This window comes from Homo sapiens, chromosome 6 (assembly GCF_000001405.40).
Source record: "Homo sapiens chromosome 6, GRCh38.p14 Primary Assembly".
Lineage (NCBI taxonomy): Eukaryota > Metazoa > Chordata > Mammalia > Primates > Hominidae > Homo > Homo sapiens.
This window is the reverse complement of record NC_000006.12, coordinates 131042157-131062994: the sequence shown is the minus strand read 5'-3', so window position 1 is coordinate 131062994 and position 20838 is coordinate 131042157. Positions and strand designations below refer to the sequence as shown.

Genomic DNA, 20838 nt, shown 5'->3' with positions numbered 1-20838 from the left:
GGAGAGGGGGCCCGGCTTTGGGATTTTCTGCGGCTCCCTCTCTCCTTTCCTTCCCGGTCTCTGCCCGACCCGATTCTTGCCCGGGGGTCCGGGTCCTGTTGCTCCGGGCCGGATCCCGGCTTCGCTGCTCCCCGCGGTCCCCCTCTTCCCTCTTCCGGGGGACCGGGGCCGCGTCCCGGCGGAGCCAGGAAAGGCGGGGGCACGGGGAGGACGCCGTCCCCCCCGGGGTGCCGTGGGCTCAGGTCACGCGTCCGGGCCCCGTGGAGCAACAGCGGGAAAAATCCGGCTCCATCCCCCCCGCGGGGAGGGGGTCGGCCGCGGCGTCGCCCTTCAGGAGGAAGGTTTTAGGAGGGGAAGCGCGGGCCGGCCGCGCGCGTGGGGACTGCGGGAAGCCGGGCGAGGGCGGCGCGCCAGCCCCACGCGCGGTGCGGGTCGGGCCCGCTGTAGGCTCGCGTCCGCGCCCCCAGCTGCCGCCTGCGCCGTCTGGGAGCTGCGGAGAGGGACGCGTGTTTCGTGCTCCGATCCTTACAATTCCCACACCCAGGCCATCTCACCACAGATGGCTTGTTTTTTCTCCTCCTGCGCCTGGGGGCCGAGGGTTGGGAGCATTTTTAGGTGAGCAGCGGGGAAGGGCGAGGAGAACCTAAAGGAGCGCGACAGGGTTGAAGTCGGCGTCTGGGGACGCCATCCCCAGGCGCAGACGCTGCCCCCAGCAGCCTGAGGTCTGTGGTGGGACATCAGTTATGCTTCTCTAGATCGCTCACCTCCCCTGAGGTCAAGTTTTTTTTTTTATATATATGTATAAATAAAATGAGGTTTGGTGAGAAGAACTACTGCCTAGAGTCTATTATTTTGGGGAGGGGTCTGCGTATGGAGCCCTCCCTACGGACCCGGGTAGTCTTTCATTGAATTGCCCCATCAACACCACAGCTGCCCTTAATTTTAAGATCCCTGGGTGGATGGGAGAGAAGGTGGAATCTAGAGGAGCTGTGGCTATATTTTCGCTTTTCTGAATCACATCTTTCCCCAGTTTCTTGAACTTCTTGCCTCTGAAATGGCATGTGTGTGCCAGGCGTCTTGTTCCTCTTGTTACTGTTATTTAAGCTGTTTTAAAAAAACGACTTTCGCGGTTTTCCCCTCAGTTTTTCAGTCTTTATTTCCTCCCCCACCCTACGTTTTTATTGTTTTTTTCAACGGAATACATTATTTATCTGGTCTCTTTATAACGCTGTTGAGAATTAGCATTTCAGTTGGTGTTCTGTCAGATTTCACCTTGGACTTAGCAGTTGAGGGAAACTGAGTCAGTTTCTATGCTGCAGGGGCTAGGATTTAGAATTCTCAAGCTTTGAACAGGTTTCAGTGGGGGAACGAATAGTGCTTAATCCTATTCAGTTTCCCTTTGCAGGCTCATTGCTGTGAGAAATCACTGGGTGGCTGTTGCAGCCACTGATGGGGGCTGCATTGCAATGCAATCTTGAATTGTGATAAGGGCCAACTGGCTCCATCCGTTAGGCTGTGAGTTTGACACAACTTTTGAAGAGCTATGCTGTGTCACCTGTCAGAGCTCGAGTGGTCATTCTTTTAATTCAATTTAAGAACCACCATCAAACTTCAGATATCTATTCTTTGGAGGTTATTGGAGAACTGTACAAGTGGTAATGGCTTGGAACAATGGTGTGGATTTAGCGCTAATTTAATCCTATCCTGTCTTCCTCACTTCTTGGGCAGAATTCCCACTGAAGTCAGTAGTGGTCTTGTGTGCAGACAGACTGCCGAGAACAAGAGGCTGCTCATTTAGAGTAACGGGAAGGGACGGTTTCTTTCCTTTTAAAACATCCCTCTGTAAGAAAGACTTAGTCATAACAGTTCTTTAATCTTTAACCACTAGTCCAAGTAGTTGAGAGCACTTTTTGCAAAAACCTTCGAAAGAAAATTCGTGGATGAATTGAGCCACGTCCCTCGAACTCTTCATATATCTACGTTGCATGGTGATCCTTAAAAAAGATTAAAAGTGATTTTAAAAAATCAGTTAAAGCTATAATTTCAGTAAAATTTTTCCTAACTTTTGTAAAAAATGTAAACTGCCAGGGAGCATTTTGTAGCAACTAAGTGTGTATATTTCAAATCTGAAATTTAAGTCCAAGTAGAAAGAAGCAAATTTAATTTAGGGGATGAATCTGAAGAGAGGCCACCAAAAAAATAACCATCTAAATATAAAAGAAGGAAGTTCAGATATCTCTTGCTGTTTTTCAGGAGATAGCTTTAGGGCAGTTTGCTCACTTTCATACCTGTTCTTAACGATTTACTGACTGCCTGGGTCCATCATTAGATAATGCTAGCACTTGGAGGTTTCCAAATGAGTTTTGTGCTGATCTGAGTTGCTGAGCTAGTTAGATCCTTGGCTTCTTAACGTAACATTCTTGTGGCTTACCCTTTCCAAATTACTAGTTCTAAGGAATTGAGTTTAGAAAACCTAACCAGTGACCAGAATGTAAAAATAGGTATTTAAAAATCAGAACCATGTCCACGTGTACTACCCAACCACTTGCTTTCAACTAAAAATACTTGCAAAGATGACAAAGCAGTCCACAACCAAAATATTTATTGGTACAATTTCTCTGTAATTAGTAATATTGTACAGTTATGTTTAACATCAGGTTCTGCCCTGAATCACCCCTCTCATATTACTGTGGCTGGTGAACTACAAAGGTTGTATCTTTGCCATTTCATTTAGGAATATAGGGTTTATATTTTATATAGCAGAATGCTAAATATTTTTGAAGGTTTTGTTTTGTTTCTGTTTCTACTCTGTCTCTACTAAAAATACAAAAATTAGCCGGGCATGGTGGCGCACGCCTGTAATCCCAGCTGAAGACATGGGCCTTTTTCTTTCTTTTTTGAACTGAAGTAGCCTGTTTAAAAGCTATGTGTGGGCTTTTTATTGAAAAGTGTGAATTGCTACTAGTTTTATAAGGCAAATAAACAGTTTATAGGGATCAATACCACTGAGTCACATTTTGCATTTCTAAAATCTGTGCTGTTTACTTGGAGAAAACAAAAGAAATGTGCCTACCTCCTCCATCCCACCTTTATTTAGAAACATTTCCAGTGGGCTTGTTTTTTTCAGATTCAGAATTACTGTACCTAACCACTGGGTACCCTTACAGATTTCAAAGCCTGAAGTAAATGTTTATGCTGGCTTTCGTAGTCAGCAAATAATAGCCAAACCCTAATTCACTGCTCTTTTATAGAATCTTGGAATCTCAGGGCTGAACCGTTAGGAGTCAGCAGATCCACTCTTAGCCCTAGTCTCTTCCTCTCAACATGCAAACAGTTCTAATGTCTTTGGAATGTCTGAGCAAATAGAAGATTTGTATGCGATTCTGTCACCAATTCTAGACAGAACATCCTTTGGGATGCCATGTTTTGGCATAAACCAGCAACTTGATATTATGAGATTTGTATCATTTCTCTGCGTGGGCAGTGCCCTAGACTAAAATCTAAAATGGAGTCAATGCCTGATGTCATTAACTATAGGGAAATGGCCTCCAAGTTAGCTATTAGAGTTGTTTAGGAATTATAGCTGGGCGCGATGGCTCACGCCTGTAATCCCACCTCTTTGGGAGGCTGAGGCGGGTGGATCATGAGGTCAGGAGATCGAGACCATCCTGGCTAACACGGTGAAACCCCGTCTCTACTAAAAATACAGAAAATTAGCCAGGCGTGGTGGCAGGCATCTGTAGTCCCAGCTACTCGGGAGGCTGAGGCAGGAGAATGGCGTGAACCCGGGAGGCAGAGCTTGCTGTGAGCGGAGATTGCGCCACTGCACGCCAGCCTGGGTGACAGAGCCAGACTCCATCTCAAAAAAAAAAAAAAAAAAGTTATAGGTAAGCCAAGAAGGAAAGAAATAAATAATCTCAGTTATCATCTAGAAATGATTTATAGTTTTTGTTGCTGTTGTTGTTTTTATTTTGTTTTTGAGACACAGTTTCACTCTGTCGTTCAGGCTGGAGTGCAGTGACGTGATCTTGGCTCACTGCAACCTCCGTCTTCCCAGTTCAAGTAATTCTCGTGCTTCAGCCTTCCAAGTAGCTGGAATTACAGGCGTGTGCCACCATGCCCGGCTAATTTTTGTATTTTTAGTAGAGACAGGGTTTCACCATGTTGACCAGGCTGTTCTTGAACTCCTGACCTCAAGTGATCCACCCGACTTGGCCTCCCAAAGTGTTGGGATTACAGGTGTGAGCCACCGCACCCAGCCGGTTTATAGTTATAGCTAATAGATTTTGGTAGCTTTTTCTATAAAGTATGTGTATGTGTGTGTATTTCATATGAGAGAGGGAATATTATAGGTATTTGTGATGTGAAGCACCTACTCATTGTATTTAATAAATATTTGATGAATTAATTCATTGAACCTTTAATATATTAGAGGTGAAGAATCTTTAGTGAAGATTCTTTGATAGAGTTGACATAGAAATGGGTAATGTTTCATGTAGAAATATCATGTCGGTAATGTTTATTTGCTTTTCTAACCACTGATATTGTTTCTCCTGGTTTTGTGGTTGGCTTGGGATCTGTGTTGTAAGTTTCTTAGAGGCATGTTTTTCATGTCTAGGAGAGTAGATAGGCTATATATTTCCATGGTGTTGGGATAGTATTAATTTTAATTAGAATTTCAGAGGCTTTCTGAATTTTCTTATTTTAAAGTGATGTCTCTTACTTCTTGGCATTGGAATAGATTTCATGTGATCTATGAGTGCATTCATACTGCTTCTGGATATTTTTTCTTCAAAGATTGCAATTGAGCTAATTTCATATTCTCAGTTATCTTTAAAATGGAAACATGTTTTCACTTCACAGATACCTCTCTGAATTTTGCATATTTTCACTCTACCTTATTAGAGCCATAAAGTCAAAAAGTACATAGATTGTCTCCCAAATAATCTGGAATAAATTGAAGGATAAGAACAATCTTTCCTGAGATCTGACCTGTATCTTAAATAAGGTTTTGCTTTAGATAGCCAAGTTGAAATTTTGCATAGATAACTAAGTTCGGCATCATGGGGATCATTTTAGTTCTTTCCAGGTTAGGAGGCATGGAAAGGCTCCCAAAGTGGTTTTGTCACTGTTCATCTATCGGACCTTATTGCCTAGGTCAGGTAGGGTAGTTCATGCATTTAAATCAAATCTTTCTGAAGAGACCAGTTTCCTCTTGCTTTGCTCTTAGGGCCTCACCATCAACCTTCATGAAAGAATTTTCAAATACTTAAAAACTTATGTTACCCTTCAGTTGCCTTTTTCCAGGATAATTGTGGTTTTAAAAAGCTTGTCATATAGTTCTGATTACCAACTCTGAAGTCACCTTTTCCAAGCCCTTGTATTTACGTTTCCAGACCTGCTGATGAGCTTCAGGGCTGGGCCATTATAACAACAGTGCTGAATTCACTCATATTTTTCAGAGTTTCCTACATTCTACTGATATATGTACATATCCCAGTAGCTTGAAGACATAAAATTAAAATGTGATTTACACTCTGCCATAATTCTTTGTTTCTTTCTCTTTTTGTCCAGAAGCTACTTGTTTTTCACCCTAGATTCATTTACCTTGAGGGAGATTATTTGGTTCAGACTCCTGACCTGGGGTGGAGAGTGGGGTTCTTGGGCCTCATGGGTGCATAAACTGCCTGAGACTGTAAGTGAGGTATTGTGTTCCCATGTGCATGCACTCCTGTGTGTGTGCAGCATCTCTGTGTGTGTGTGCACAAGTGGATGAGAGAGACAGGTTAAGGGAGAAAGAGAACTTTAGGAGTGGTTTTTGAAAGGGTTTTGGGAAACAGAAAAGATTGAGAACTGATGTTTCAGTTCTTATTTTCGAGATTAGAAGATGGAAGTTTTAAGAGTATTTTGTTTTTCTCTTTTTTTTTAATTTTTTCACCCTATTGCACTTTTCATCATTTATTCTCCCCTATCTCCCATTGTACTTCTTTCCATTCAATTGAATTCATTTAGTTGACCCCCATTTACCTAACTGTCAAGGTTAAACTGAATTCTGATATAATCCTGGCCACTCATATTCTTACCTGTGAACTTAATGAATGTGCATTTATTTCCTTACAAATTTCTTTGATGGAATATTGATTAGAAGGAATCAGTAACATGTCCACTCTATTTGATGCTGGTTAGACTGCCACATATGCCATTGTGACCTTGGGCAAATTATTTCTCAAAGCCTCGTTTGCTGTAGTAAGGGGTTAAAAATCATACCTACCTCAGAGTTACATGAGGATTAAATGAACTAATGCTTATAAAATGCTTCATAGAGTGCCTGGCATCTGTAAAAATTGTTAGGTTAAGAAGAGACCTAGTGGGTTGGTTACTGGTGAATATGTGGTAAGCAGATTTTTTGCAGTGGTCAGGAATAATTATCTGTGTGGAAGTACAGTCTTTGAAATGAAACAGTAATTTCCTATGGTGATCACAAGTTAAAACCACTTTTTAACAATTTCAGTCCAGTATCTATAATGTTTGAGCTTTTAGAAACTCTTGTCTTAACTTCATTCTTTTTGTTAATTTACAAAAGAGCATATATATGGGAAAACAGTTGGGATCTAGTTTCAACAGCACAGGGATAATGTAGTCTTTTTTGTTATGTTGCCAGAGGTAACTGATTATAAATGTAAAATTGTGTGCATATGTTCTAACTTCTTCTCTCTATAACCACAGTAAACTTGTTGAAAAAAGCCTATTAGTGAGTAGAATTTTTGTTGACAATGTTTAAACCTCTGCATATGGCATTAAAATGTAACCTTTATAAATCTTTGTGTGAAATATACCTGCACACATATTTTCCAGCAACATCGTGTTTTAACTTGTTAGTTGCCAACATTAAGAAATCAGGTTTCATATAAATATCCTTATTTTAGGCTAGAAAAATTAGATGATGGTGTAGCACTTGGTCCACTGGGTCCACTGGGTCTATTGTGTCTATTGCTTCTGGTGCTGTCACGCATCAGCTGCTTTGCTTAACCTGTCCCTGACGCACGCATTTTATGCTCAGTTCTAGCTTTGTTCTAGGTTCCATTGTAAGTAATCCTGTAAGGCCTGAAGCTTTGATAATCAATAACCATGTAAAAAAAAAATAAGGAAGCTAATGGTTTTGCAGCACAGACTACACACCAGGTGCTATAATTGGTACTTTACATATGTTAATAACCCTGCTTCTTTTTTGCAGCACCATCTTGGAGTAGCTGGTGTGCTTATTTTACGGATGAGAAACTGAGGCTTAAAAATTGAATAAATGGCTCAAGGGCACCCAGCTTGTGTATGGCTAAAACCCTTGTTTTTTCTGTGAGTTCCAGTTATTGCTTTTAATTGTTCGATGTTATTACTCAGTAGAAGTTGAAGTTTTTTGCAATTTGTTGGCATCTGCAGTATCTAACTTTTATAAAAGACAGGATTGCTTTCCTGACTGGGTTCGCCCATGTAGTTTTTTGTGTAAAGGTATGATTATGAAGCAGACCTGAGTACTACTTTTAGTTGTGTGATTCTTGAATCATGCTGGAACAGGGAGTACCCTTCATCTTGTTTTTCAGACTAGAGACATTTAAAGTAATGTTTCTAGCCTGATTTTTCAATATTAGAAAAATATACCAGAGGATAAAACACATCAGAATAAAATGTGGCTCTCCCCCGACCTTTAGTTTCTGCCTTTCCTGTGGTTTTGCACTTTTTGCTTTCATTTAAAGTGCAAATGGCATTCTCCAGGGTGCTTTATATGATTTAGAAAGTCAGGTAGTACTGCAGGGATTATGAAAAAAAGCAGCAGACCAGTGCCCTAGCTCCCTTCTTGACAGATTTCTGCTCCCCTGAGGCAACTACTTGTTGGAGGCCAAAAGAATGAGGGTCATGATCAACTCAGTATACCACTGGAGGTTATATGAGTAAGCAGCAAACTGTTTTTCATAAATGCAGAATGTTGGCAAACTGACAGACTGCGTATGCCACCCAGAAGGAATGCTGAAGGCAGTCATGCCCAAAGCACAGTGTTTCTTGTGATTAGGTACATCTGAAGCCTGTTAGTAACAATATGAACCTGTGATCAATTAAGCAGCTGACCAATCCTTACCTCCTTCTCCCTGCTCTTGTTACCCAATAAATATGAAGGGCTGTGGAAGCTCAGGGGCTGCCTTTGCTCACTAGAAGCAGGGAGCTCTTTTCTTCTTCCCCTGGCCCTTCCTTTAAAACAGTTCCTTTTGTTTTTTTGTTATTTCCATGTTTGTCCCTTCCTTCAGTCTCGTAATGACGGTCTCAAGTAGTAACAGTAGTAACTGTTGTAGTGAAGGTCTCAAGTAGTAACTGTGGCAATGTGCCACAAGTGGCGCCCGAACAGGGACTATCAGTGACAAACAGAGACCTGAAGAGACCTGAAGGGACCTGAGGAGGCCTACAGGGACACATAGAGATAAGTAGGGATAAATAGAGATAGAGACAGATAGGGAAAGATAGGGACTTGCACCAACTTGGAGGAACTAACAGGGACCGTAGAGACAGACAGGGACAGACAGGGATAGATAAAGACTAGCAAATACTAGCAGAGACTAGCAAAGACTAGCAGAGACCAGCAGAAGCTAGCAGAAACTTGCAGGGACAGACAGGGACAGATAGAGACAGGGTCCTATAGGGACTTGAATGAGGAAGTTCTGCTGGAACAGAAAAAACTAAAACCAACCAGACAAATGAGAAACCCCGTTACAAGTCTGCTTGACAACATAAGGAGATGAACAAACTGTGTGGGTGCCCTCAAGGTGTGTGCGACCATGGAATGGAAGACTGGAGAGATCCATGGATTCTAGCTACAGGCCTTGTTCCCCTAATACGAGCCATGAGCCAGTTGAATCTGAATGCGAAGATGGAATGAGGACCGACCGGAGTCACACTGACATCAACCCTCATGACATGGGGATAGATCAAGAAAACCACACAGGAAGCTGAGACACTGTTAGTGTCAGGGTCAGGCAAAGACCCCTGACTCCATGTTTGTGGCCATGCTGGCCATGGTTTCCTGTGCCTCCCGTTGTAAGATCAGCTGGACCACCAACTGGCAATTAAGGGCTGCACAGCCTGTAGTTGCCTTTCTCAATTAATTAAAAAACAAAAAGGGAGAAACGTTGGAGGTCGAAAGAATGAGGGTTATGATCAACTCAGTATACCACTGGAGGCTATATGAGTAAGCAACAAAATGTTTCTCATAAATGTAGAATGTTGGCAAACTGACAAACTGTGTATGCCACCCAGAAGGAATGCTGAAGGCAGTCACGCCCCAAGTGCAGTGTTTCTTGTGATTAGGTACATCTGAAGCCTGTTAGTAACAATATGAACCTGCGATCAGTTAAGCAGCTGACCAGTTGCTACCTCCTCCTCCCTGTTCTTGTTACCCAATAAATACGAAGGGCTGTGGAGCTCAGGGGGGCTGCCTTTGCTGACTAGAAGCAGGGAGCTTTTCTTCCCCTGGCCTTTCCTTTAAAACAGTTTCTTTTTTTTTTTTTTTTTTTTTTTTTATCATTTCCATGTTCGTCCCTTCGTCCCGTCTCCTAATGAGGGTCTCAAGTAGTAACAGTAGTAACTGTTGTAGTGATGGTCTCAAGTAGTAACCGTGACAGTCTGCCACAACTACTTTCACTAGTTTTGGTTTTATTTTCTGGTGTTTTGTCTCTAAATAACATGATTTTCTTGTTTCTTGATTTTTTTTTTAAAGTTTCAGAATATTTTTATGTTTTATTATTTGTTAAAATTTACTTGCTGGGCACGGTGATTCATGCCTGTAATCCCAGCACTTTGGGAGGCCGAGGCGGGCAGATCACCTGAGGTCAGGAGTTTGAGACCAGCCTAGCCAACATGGTGAAACCCCATCTCTACTAAAAATACAAAATTAGCCAGGCGTGGTGGTGCATGCCTGTAATCCCAGCTGCTCAGGAGGCGGAGACAAGGAGAATCGCTTGAACCCAGGAGGTGGAAGTTTCAGTGAGCCAAGATCGCACCATAGCACTCCAGCCTGGGCAACAAGAGCGAAACTCCTCAAAAAAAAAAATTTATATTTTTGTGTGTAGATAGTTGTTCAAATTGATGTTTCTGTAGGGGGTGAGGTTAGCAGGGCGAGTGGGGCAGAGAAGCACTAGAAAAGCCTATTCTGCCACCTTGCTGAGGTCTGCTTACTCCTGTTTCTTGATTTTTACATTTTAAATGTAATACCTGTTTGACTTTCTACCTCTAGTTAGCTTCCTTACTAACTCCCTCTTCCCATTTTCTCCTCTCTTCCAATTTCCAACTTATATATACAAAAGCTAAGTCATGTAAAGTGCTTTGATTACATGTACTTTCTTTTACAACTTTATGTTTTATCCTGAAGTTATCCTGATCCTTATCCTTTTCCTTATTCGTTTTCTTTGCACCCATCCTTGGTTCAGCTTTAAACTATGTTAGAAACTGTGAAATTCTTGCCAGTAGGATCAAACATGATATAATCTTTTGGTTCCGTTTTCTTTTTTTGTTAAAGCTATCCTTCCTGGCTGGGCCCTCCATCATCCTGGACTGGTTTTATTTCTAGAATTGCTATATAACTGTGTGCAGGGAATTCCTTCGCCTCTTTTTCTGGGCTCTATATTTCTATCTTGGTTCATTGACAAAAAGTTAGGAGTTTATCCATGAACTTGTAACCAGAACTGTTTTTGGATCTTGGCCATTAAAATCAACATCAGTGGCTGGGTGCAGTGGCTCATGCCTGTAATCTTAGCACTTCGGGAGGCTGAGGCAGTTGGATTGCCTGAGGTCAGGAGTTTGAGACCAGCCTGGCCAACATGGCAAAACCCCATCTGTACTAAAAATATAAAAATCAGCTGGGTGTGGTGGTGGGCGCCTGTAGTCCCAGCTACTTGGCAGGCTGAGGCAGGAGAATTGCTTGAACCCAGGAGGTGGAGGTTGCAGTGAGCCGAGATCATGCCACTGCACTCCAGCCTGGGTGACAGAGTAAGACTCCGTCTCAAAAAAAAAAAGAAAAAAAAAATCAACACAGCACAGGCTACATCCTAATTTCCTTAATGAAGACTTCTAGTATTTGCCCAAAAAAGTGTAAATGGCAGGTGAGTTTCTTGAGGCTTGCATGTCTTAAAATGTCTTTCTCCACTCTCAGTTTGGTTGCTCTTATAGTTTGGTTGTATATAGAATTCTGTTAGTGATTACCTTCCCTTCAAATTTTGAAGGCATCTTTTGAAGCCATTTGAAGGATGCTCTTTCTCTCACCTCAGTCCTCAAAGATATCTGGAACCTCCAATTCTTCAGGCTCTCAGGGCTTTTCCAACAATCAACTTGTTTCTCGTAGGCCCCCCACCAAAACAGTAACAGTTTTCTGCTTCCTCTGCTCTGCTAAGTCAGTTACTTTGTACATCTGCTTTCCATCTTCTAAAATTTTGTTGACATATCTGCTGGCCTGACCCCTCCCATTGTTGCTGTTGTGTGTGTGTGTGTGTGTGTTTTTTTTTTTTTTGCTTTACTTTTGTGAATTTGTTCCTTGTAAGAAAACTTTTCTCACTTCATTTTAGTGTGGTTGTGGGAGGAAACAGAAATTAGCTCATGTTAAATATATTGGATTTTGGAATTTAAATTGATTAAAAACAAAATTCCACAAGATTGCCACGGTACTCACATTTGGTAAGGACTGCAGCCATAATAAAATTATACTTGTTTCCCCATGCCAGCTGCTGGGTTGAACTTCATTTATATAGAGGGAGGTAGAAAAGTCAGGTGATTGAGTGAACATCTAGGGTGCCTGGGAGTGGATGACTGATATGTTATTGGTCAAGAAGCTACTTCCTAGGAAAAGTTCAGTAAATGTATTATATTTTTTTCCTGTGGTCTTTCAAGGAGTTCATTATAAACTCTTAGAAATATTATATACTTGAACTAGACTTAACAATACATACTCACCAAATTTGTTTTTGTTATGTATCAGAGGTGACAGCATTAGTTTAGATTTATTGAGTATCTTGGTTTGTCTGTCTTTAGACAGACATATTGTTGTCACACATATACTTGAATATTCTTTGGACCAGGCACGATGGCTCATGCCTGTAATCCCAGCACTTTGGGAGGCCAAGGCGGACAGATCATTTAAGCTCAGGAATTCAAGACCAGCCTGGGCAACATGGGGAAACCCCATCTCTATTAAATAAATAAAAGAATATTGTTTGAATATGATTTGGGGATTAGAGTAAGTTTTGAACATATGCAGGTTCTGTTAAATATTGTAAGGGTGAAAATTTCATTACTAGGTGGGACATAATTAGGGATTTACATTAATGTGAAGGTATGGATGTTAGGGATTTTCGAGTGTGGGTTTTAGGGATGGTAAAACAAAAAGGAAGGTTCTGAATATTGTAGTGAGTCAGTAGTGACTGTGAGGTCTGAGGAAATGACAGGATGATCTAATGCCTGTTATGTGATCAGTGTTAGTTAAGTTGGTTGCCCAGTGGGTTTTAGAGATTTAGACATTCAAATCTATTATGCATTAATATAGAAGATGTTGCAGGGAATAAATAAGGAAAGTATTTCCCCAGAGTATGTTGGTATACTAAATGATTTGAGTCTTTCATTTTTTTTTGGAGACAGAGTCTCGCTCTGTTGCCCAGGCTGGGGTGCAATGGCGCAATCTTGGCTCACTGCAACCTCTGCCTCCCGGGTTCAAGCGATTTTCCTGCCTTAGCCTCCTGAGTAGCTGAGATTACAGGTGCCCGCCACCACGCCCAGCTAATTTTTGTGTTTTTAGTAGAGATGGGGTTTTGCCATGTTGGCCAGGCTGGTCTCAAACTCCTGACCTCAGGTGATCTGCCCTCCTTGACCTCCCAAAGTGCTGGGATTACAGGTGTGAGCCACCGCACCCGGTCCCCATTTGATTTTTAAAACAATTTTGTACCACGGGTCTGACAAGTAAGAAGAGCGAAGAGTTTAAACTTAACCAAAGTCCTGGAGCAGTTACTAATGGAGCTTCAGGCACAGCCAAGGTCTCTTGTGTCCAGAGTTGTTCCCTCTATACTGTGCACTTTTGCCAGTTGAAGTTTTCTTGGAAAACTCAGGAAGTCTGCCAAGTTTTGTAGCTAAAGAGATGTCCTGTAGCTTTTATATATTTGTGTCTTGAGCCCTGAAGGTAGACAGAGCTCAGTCTTCCAAAAATAGTTCAATAAATGTGTCAACATTTTGAAATACTACTGAAAAAACAAGTAAAAGTCCTATGGGATTATTGGAAAATGATGCCAAATGCCTCCACAAGTATTTGAAAAGCAAATGTGGCAGTGGTTATACGCTAGACAATGGTTCATATTCAGCCTTCGCTTTTGGGGACCATTTTTATTATGATAATCTTTTACTGTTTCCCAGTACTCTGTTTAGTTGCTTCTAGACTCTGGTAGAAAAGCTACTAAGTGTCTACACTCTGGTAGAAAAGCTACTAAATGAACATCTTCTTTGGAAAATTTTCTTTAATCCACTTCTCTTAAAGAGAAAAAGGAAAACTTTTTTTCCTTAATAAAGTGGGTGAAAGTTGTGTATGGGAAAGGTCAGAATGTCAAGTACTGAGTTGGGTCTGTCCACTGCAAAGAAATCAAATTTATCCATGAACTTGTAACTAGAACTGTTTCTGGATCTTGGCCATTGAAATCAACATCAGTAAAGCCTACATCTTAATTTCCTTAATGCCAAGATTGTCTGTTTTAAATTATACACATATGGGAATGTGAATACATTCGTCTTCCCCCACCTCCCTCTGCCCGAAAACAGGAGGAAAATAAAGGTACGTTGAAGATATTCTAAACTTTTGCAGCTCTGCAATGAAGAGCTGTGGATGTGGGCTGCATATGTGGTGCAGATGTGGCTCCTACCAATTGAGGTCATTTTACCTTCATCTTCAGTGCTGCAAGCTTAAATCGAAAGAGGGTAGATTCTAGAATAGTCTATAGATCTATGATTTATGTGTTACTTGCTCTGTGTAGAACACATAATAGCAGTGAAGGATAATGTGGCATTTTTTTAAGGACTTTTTTTTTTCTGGTTAGGTTTTTTAAAGCCATGTTTGGTTAGGTTTTTTTAAAGCCATGTAGTATCTGATTATCGAAGTGTTTTTGGAAGAAAGAATGTACCATTATCAGTTACAGAAAAGTGTTCTTCTTTTTTAAACTTTTTACTATGGAAAATTTTCAATATATTCAGAAGTAGAGAATAGTAGTATAATGAACCTCGCGTATCCTCGCCTGGCTTCAACAGTTACCAGTCACATGACCAGTCTTGTTTCATCTGTATTTCCCTTTGACTCCCTGACCCACTCTCATCTTTATTTTGAAGCAAACTCCAGACATCATATAATTTTATTTGTGAATAAGTGAGATTCCCCTGCTCCCCTTTTCTTGGCATGTACTTCTTGGTCTCCCAAATAAAGCTCATATTTATTACGGATTTTGTGGAATAACAGAAAATAGATCATTTGTGACATACTGTTGTGATGTTTTTGGAATAAATATCTGAATATTGTTTTAGTCAGTAAAAGCAGTTTCACCTAAATGTAGCATTGTGGACATAGAGAATGCTTTAACCAGTGCTAAAAACAAGGAACATAAAACAAAAAATACAACAAAAACCCCAACAATTTCTAAACCAAATCTGAACTGATATTCAAATTCTAGTATGTTCTCAAGGTAATGTTAAAGTTGATGTTGTATAATTTTTTTTCCTATGAATCCTGCTTATGTTTATGTTAGATTTTATTGTTTTTAGATTTTTCTTTTCTTTTTTTCTTTTTTTTTTTTTTTTTTTGAGACAGAGTCTTGCTCTGTCGCCCAGGCCTGAGGTACAGTGGCGCGATCTCGGCTCACTGCAACCTCTGCCCCACAGATTCAAGCAGTTCTCTGCCTCAGCCTCCTGAGTAGCTGGGATTACATGTACCCGCCACTATGCCTGGCTTATTTTTGTATTTTTAGTAGAGACAGGGTTTCACCATCTTGGCCAGGCTGATTTTGAACTCCTGACCTCGTGATCCACCTGCCTTGGCCTCCCAAGTGCTGGGATTACAGGCATGAGCCACCGCGCCCAGCCGATTTTTCTTTTTTCTTTTCTTCCTCCCACCCTGCCTTCTTTCTTCCCTTCTTTTGCCTAACGTAGTTTAGAGGCAATATGTTGGAACTAGACCAAGCAAAATATTCTTTTTTAGCTGACTGAATTTTAATGGGACTATACAGTTATAAAAATCAAAGCAACCTGTTTGTATATGGTTCTGTCTGGCAGTATCGAGGGGAAGGTACATGCCTTAAACATTGATGATACACTAATTTAGAAATCGTTGTGTAAATTGTTGGCATTATAGCTGTAGCTGACAATCACTTAATGGTCGAAGTGCTTTTCCTAAATAACAGGCAGGATTTTTATGTTGGAGATAGTTTATTTTATATATTAATTTGTACTTTCAATTAAGATGTAATTATTTAATATAATTTCCTTGCAAAGACATTGAATTATAAAATATTGATAACAATAAGCACCATGTTTTGAGTACTTAATATATGTCAGACACTGTTCTATAGGCACTTTTATTTTTAAATATTTTTTTTAGAGATGGGGTCTTGCTGTGTTGTCTGGGCCGGAGTACACTGGGTACTCACAGATGTGATCATTGCATACTACAGCCTTGAACTCCTGGGCTCAAGTGATCCTTCTGTCTCAGTTTCCTGAGTACCTGGGACTAGAGGTGTGTGCCACCATGCTGGTTATCTATAAGCACTTTTACATTTATTTATTTATTTAATTCTTGTAGTAACTCTTTGTGGTAGGTACTATTATCCTAAGTATCCTATAAGAAAACTGAGGCACTGCAGTTTGAAGTAACTTGCTCAGGGTCACTCAGCCAATTAATGGTGGAGCAGCGGTTTGAACCCAGGCTGTCTAGTTCCAGAGCCTATAGCCATAACTACTGTCTTATATTATCCCTAAGAATATGTAAACGACGTCAAACCCCGATCCTATTTGCATTCCCCTCCCCACGGGTAACTATCTTGAATCAGAGCCAATACTACACTATTGCATTAGGGTATAATTTAATCATTAGGGGATAGTTTTCATGCAGAAACTAGAAAGCACTGATGAGATTCTACTCATGTTCCTTTACCAGCTTTAGTTATAAAGGGGAAGCGGGAAAATGGAAGCACGTAGAGGATAAGGTGATAACCTCCACCTTACCATCTTCCTTCTTCCCCCTTAAAAAAGAAATGGAATGTTGAGTCTATCTGGAATGTTGACAGGTTAAAAAGGAGCTGTTGAAGCCTGTCGTTCACAGTAGCATCGAAAGGTGAAAATTTGTCTCCACTTGAGTACCTTGAAATGGCAGGTGTGTTATTGGAATATTGGGCTATTGTTGGTCAGTACTGCTGAGTATAGACTTTTGTAGGTGTTTATCCTGAATCTGTAGTGACCGGAATTTCAACAAATGAGGTATTTAATACTGTTTTTTCCCTTTTGTTTCTGAAAGGAGCAGAGGATAGAAAGACAATTGTTCTAGCCTCAAGTCCCAGTACACTCATTAGTTAAGTGTGACGGTGGTCAAGTGATGTTGCTTTGTGTGTCTGTTTTCTCTTAGGTGGTTCAGGTACCCTGAAATAAATCCTAACTTATATGTCTGTTGCTCATTCATCTCTGTGTGTGGAGAAAGTGATTTAAAGTGTCCTTTCTTTAAGAAGGAAAGAGCCAGGGCATAGTGGCTCGTATCTGTAATCCTAGCACTTTGGGAGGCTGAGGCAGGAGGATTGCTTCAGTCAGGAGGTTGAGACTGGCCTGGGCAACATAGTGAAACCATGTCTCTACTAAAAAAAAAAAAAAAAAAAAAATTAGCTTCGGAGACTGAGGCGGGAGGATCCCTTGAACTCCAGAGATGGAGGCTACAGTGAGCTATGATCTTGCCACTGCACTCCAGCCTTGGTGACAGAGTCACACACTATCTCAAAAAAAAAAAAAAAAGAGAGAAAGAAAAATATAGGCGTAGATCTTGGCAAAACATTTGATAAAGTTTTCATGGTATCTTTATATCTTTATAAACAACTTTGGAAAAAATCTCTTGTGGTTTTTGTTACTGAAATTTTAACCTTGGTCATCTCCTATGCAAGATATTTTTGCCAGTGATTTTTAATGGTAACAAACAAGGATTGCTTATCAGATATACAGATTTCACAGAAGTTTATAGGGAAACCGAGTAAGCTGTTCCTAGATTGTCTTATTAGCTACAAAATGGGCTGAAATAAATAACATGAAATTTGTTGGGATGTCATTGAAAGTCTTTGAGTCTCTCCTGACATGTTTTGGCTCTTTGTTCTCCTTTTCCTTCTGTTCTTTGCAGACTTCTTTTCCTCTGACTATCCTTTCAATTTTCCTGTTTCCCAGGGTTCTGTCCTTAGCCTTTGATTCGTAGCCCTAATTTTTATCACCCAAGACTTTACCTATTTTAATCTGTTAACTCATATCTCTCTCCAGGCTAAGTCTTTCTCTTGAGTTCTGCATTTCAGTGACTTAGAAGAATCTCTGCCAGCATCTCATCATTTTTAAATGAATATTTAAATATTAAATATTCATATTAAATGAATATTTAAATATGAAATATTTTGTGTAAAATGTGGGCTGTAATGGATTATTTTGCATTGACTTAGAATATTTAGATACCTCATTTTAAGGGGTACATAGTATGCACTAATAGATATTTGTTCAATAAAGACGAGTGGAAACCATGTCCATGAAGGGTTACTGGGATGTTGAGATGAGGAGAAACTATAGCACCTGAAGAACTAGCCGTAGAAATAACTGAAGGGATAAAACTTACTGGGGGGCAACTTGTTGAGAGCTGGTGTTTGAGCACTGCCTTTCTGATTTTGTTTTTGACAAAATCTGCTGGAAGAAATATATTTTACATCTTGACCCTTTATTCAGTATGGATGTGTGTATATGTATATATATGTATGAATAACAGAAACAAGTTTCACAAATTAGTTCTTAACCTTACTGTGTATTGTGCTCTGAGATTTTCTTTTCTACTTAATAATAATAAAATTCCAGTCAATAGTCCACAAACTTAATTTCACAACTCACCAGTGGACTGTCACTGCAACTTGAAAAATTCTTTTTCCATGGATAAAACTAAGAAATTTGGAGAAGGGAAGTTTTCTGCCTGGTAGCAGAGGAACTTTTTAACAGTTGGAGAAGGCTGATGATGGAATGGGGCTGCCTTGGAATGGAGTGCTTTCCCAAGGCTTGAAGGACCCAGGCAACAGGCTGTTGGAAGGTGGGAGGAAGATTCACTGGGTGGGAGATGGAGCTTTGTGACCACCGGGGTATCTTCCAAGCTAAAGATTTTATGATTCCCATTTTATGACTTGCTGAAATTTTAAGATGATTAAAGTTATTTGAAGATGAAAAAGATTCTGAATTTTGTTTACCACGATTCTACTTTTTTGTCAAAAATGTCTCAATTGTTTTAGAAATTAATTTTTAAATTAAAAAGTTTTAAGAATTTTGTATGCTAACTGTATTTCCATTATTAACTTACTTCCATTTCCATTATTTCAATTTTTTTTTAAACAAAAAAGCATTATTGGCTGGGTGCTGTGGCTCATGCCTGTGATCCCAGCGCTTTGGGAGGCTGATGCCAGAGGATCACTTCGGCCCAGGAGTTTGAGACCAGCCGGGGCAACATGGTGAAACTCCATCTCTACAAAAAATACAAAGTAAACTTAGTTAGGCATGGTGACCAGTGCCTGTGGTCCCAGCTACTTGGGAGGCTAAGGTGGGAGAATCTCCTGAGCTCAGGAGGTCAAGGCTGCAGTGAGTGGTGATTTCACTACTGCACTCCAACCTGGACAGCAGAGTGAGACCCTGTCTCAAAAAAAAAAAAAAAAAAAAGCATTATTTAGAAAGTTTTAAATATATACAAAACTAAACTGAATAGCATATTGATTCCCCGTTCCTTTCCCACCATTCAGCTTTAACATCTGTCAGCTCATGGCTGGCTTTCTTTTATCTGTCTCTCTATTCACTTCACTTCTTACTATATTATTTGGAAGCAATTCCCAGGCATGTCATCATTCCATCTACATATACTTCACTACGTATCTATAAAAGATGAGACTCTTTAGAATACCATTATAATAACTAAATAAATTAACAGCAAATCCTTAATGTCATCACATATTCACTGTGTTCAGATTTCCATTTGTCTTTGTTTCTTTCATAGTCTCTTATTTGAATCAGGATCCAAGTTAGGTACATACATTGCGATTGTGATAGGTCTCTTCAAATCTCTTTAATCTATTGGTTCTGTCCCTTTCTTTCTTTTATATTTCCTTGCAATTTTTGTTGTTGTTGAAGAAATTGGGTTGTCCTATATCCTTCCTGCAATTTCTGTTTTTCTGATTCCATCCCTATGTAGTTTAACCTGTGCCTTCATCCTATGAATTGGTAGTACATGCAGAGGCTTTTCATCATCTTCTGGTTCAGTTTTTTTTGTTGTTGTTAATACTTCATTGGTTTTGTTATTTCTTAAAACCACTCAAAGAGTATACCTAAATACTAAATGTAAGGATGTTTGGATTTATTTATTTATTTATTTATCTTTATTTTTTAAGACAGAGTCTTACTCTGTCACCCAGGCTGGAGTGCAGCGGCGAGATTTTGGCTCACTGCAACCTCTGCATCCCGGGTTCAAGCGATTCTGCTGCCTCAGCCTCCTAAGTAGCTGGAATTACAGGAGTGTGCCACTACACCCAGCTAATTTTTTTGTATTCTTAGTAGAGACAGGGTTTTGCCATGTTTACCAGGCTGGTCTTGAACTCCTGACCTCAAGTAATCTGCCTGCCTCGGCCTCTCAAACTGTTGGGATTACAGGCCTGAGCCACCTTGCCCAGCCTCGGATTTCTTACTTGGTTCTTCATTTTTAAAATCAGCCTAAGCCAAATTCCCCATAAAAACAGATGGAACCACTTAGAAATTTGGGAAGATAATAATCCTCTGCAAACACCACATCCAAATACAGATTACACAAGAATTTCTACTCCAGCTTCATTTCCAAAAAAGAAAGGGAGAAAGCAGCTGTCTTAGTAATTTCCATGTACCACAAACCAGGTTTTCCGTTCAAGTGAGACATTTTACAGTAAAATCAGTCTTGATTTTTCTAGCACAATGATGGAAACTTTTTGGTTTTGCTAGTTAGATTTCTTACCCAGTAAGCAAGTATCCTTAGTGACTCTTTTTTTCCCCCTCTTCTTCCTTGACAGTTAGAAGTAGAAGGATAAAAGTGAGAAGATGTGAAATCAGAAAGCAACCAATTTATGTGGGAAATTAAATAAATGTGTTCTATAGTGATCCTTTGAAGGATTTTGTAATCATTTGTTTTTACTACTTATTGTGGAAATTTTTCTATGTATAAATAAAGAGGGCAGAATAATACCATCCATTTCCTCACCACCTTGTTTTTCCCCTAATGTTTAGTGCATTAAGAGATGGGGATGAAGTCACACTGCTATTCACTGGAATCTTCTTTATTATTTCATTTGTTGTATCAGGCTTGTAGTGTAGGTTTTACATCTTTTTCTTTCTTTTGTTAATGCTAGTAAATCTTTTGCTAGTTTTTATTTTAAGGTCTTTTGGCTGGTACTCATTTTGCTAGGTATTAGATGAAGATTCTATGATGAGGTGAAGATGCTGGGATTAGGGGTCATTCCCTGCATTCTTACTGAGTTTCTTTTTAAAAAAATACTTTTTATAATG

The 20838-nt window shown here is 40.1% G+C and overlaps 1 protein-coding gene across 16 annotated transcripts in view, besides 1 other annotated feature; it reads left to right on the top strand.

Moving 5' to 3' along the window:
• EPB41L2 (erythrocyte membrane protein band 4.1 like 2) overlaps positions 1-20838 on the top strand; it is a 223899-nt gene that overhangs the window by 251 nt on the left and 202810 nt on the right. The gene's annotated exons all lie outside the window — the stretch shown is intronic.
• Positions 194-293: a silencer, noted in NCBI's record as "silent region_17542". NCBI's record gives its function as "represses an Ori minimal core promoter by ATAC-STARR-seq in GM12878 lymphoblastoid cells {active_cell/tissue: GM12878}" and the evidence as "EXISTENCE:reporter gene assay evidence [ECO:0000049][PMID:35858748]".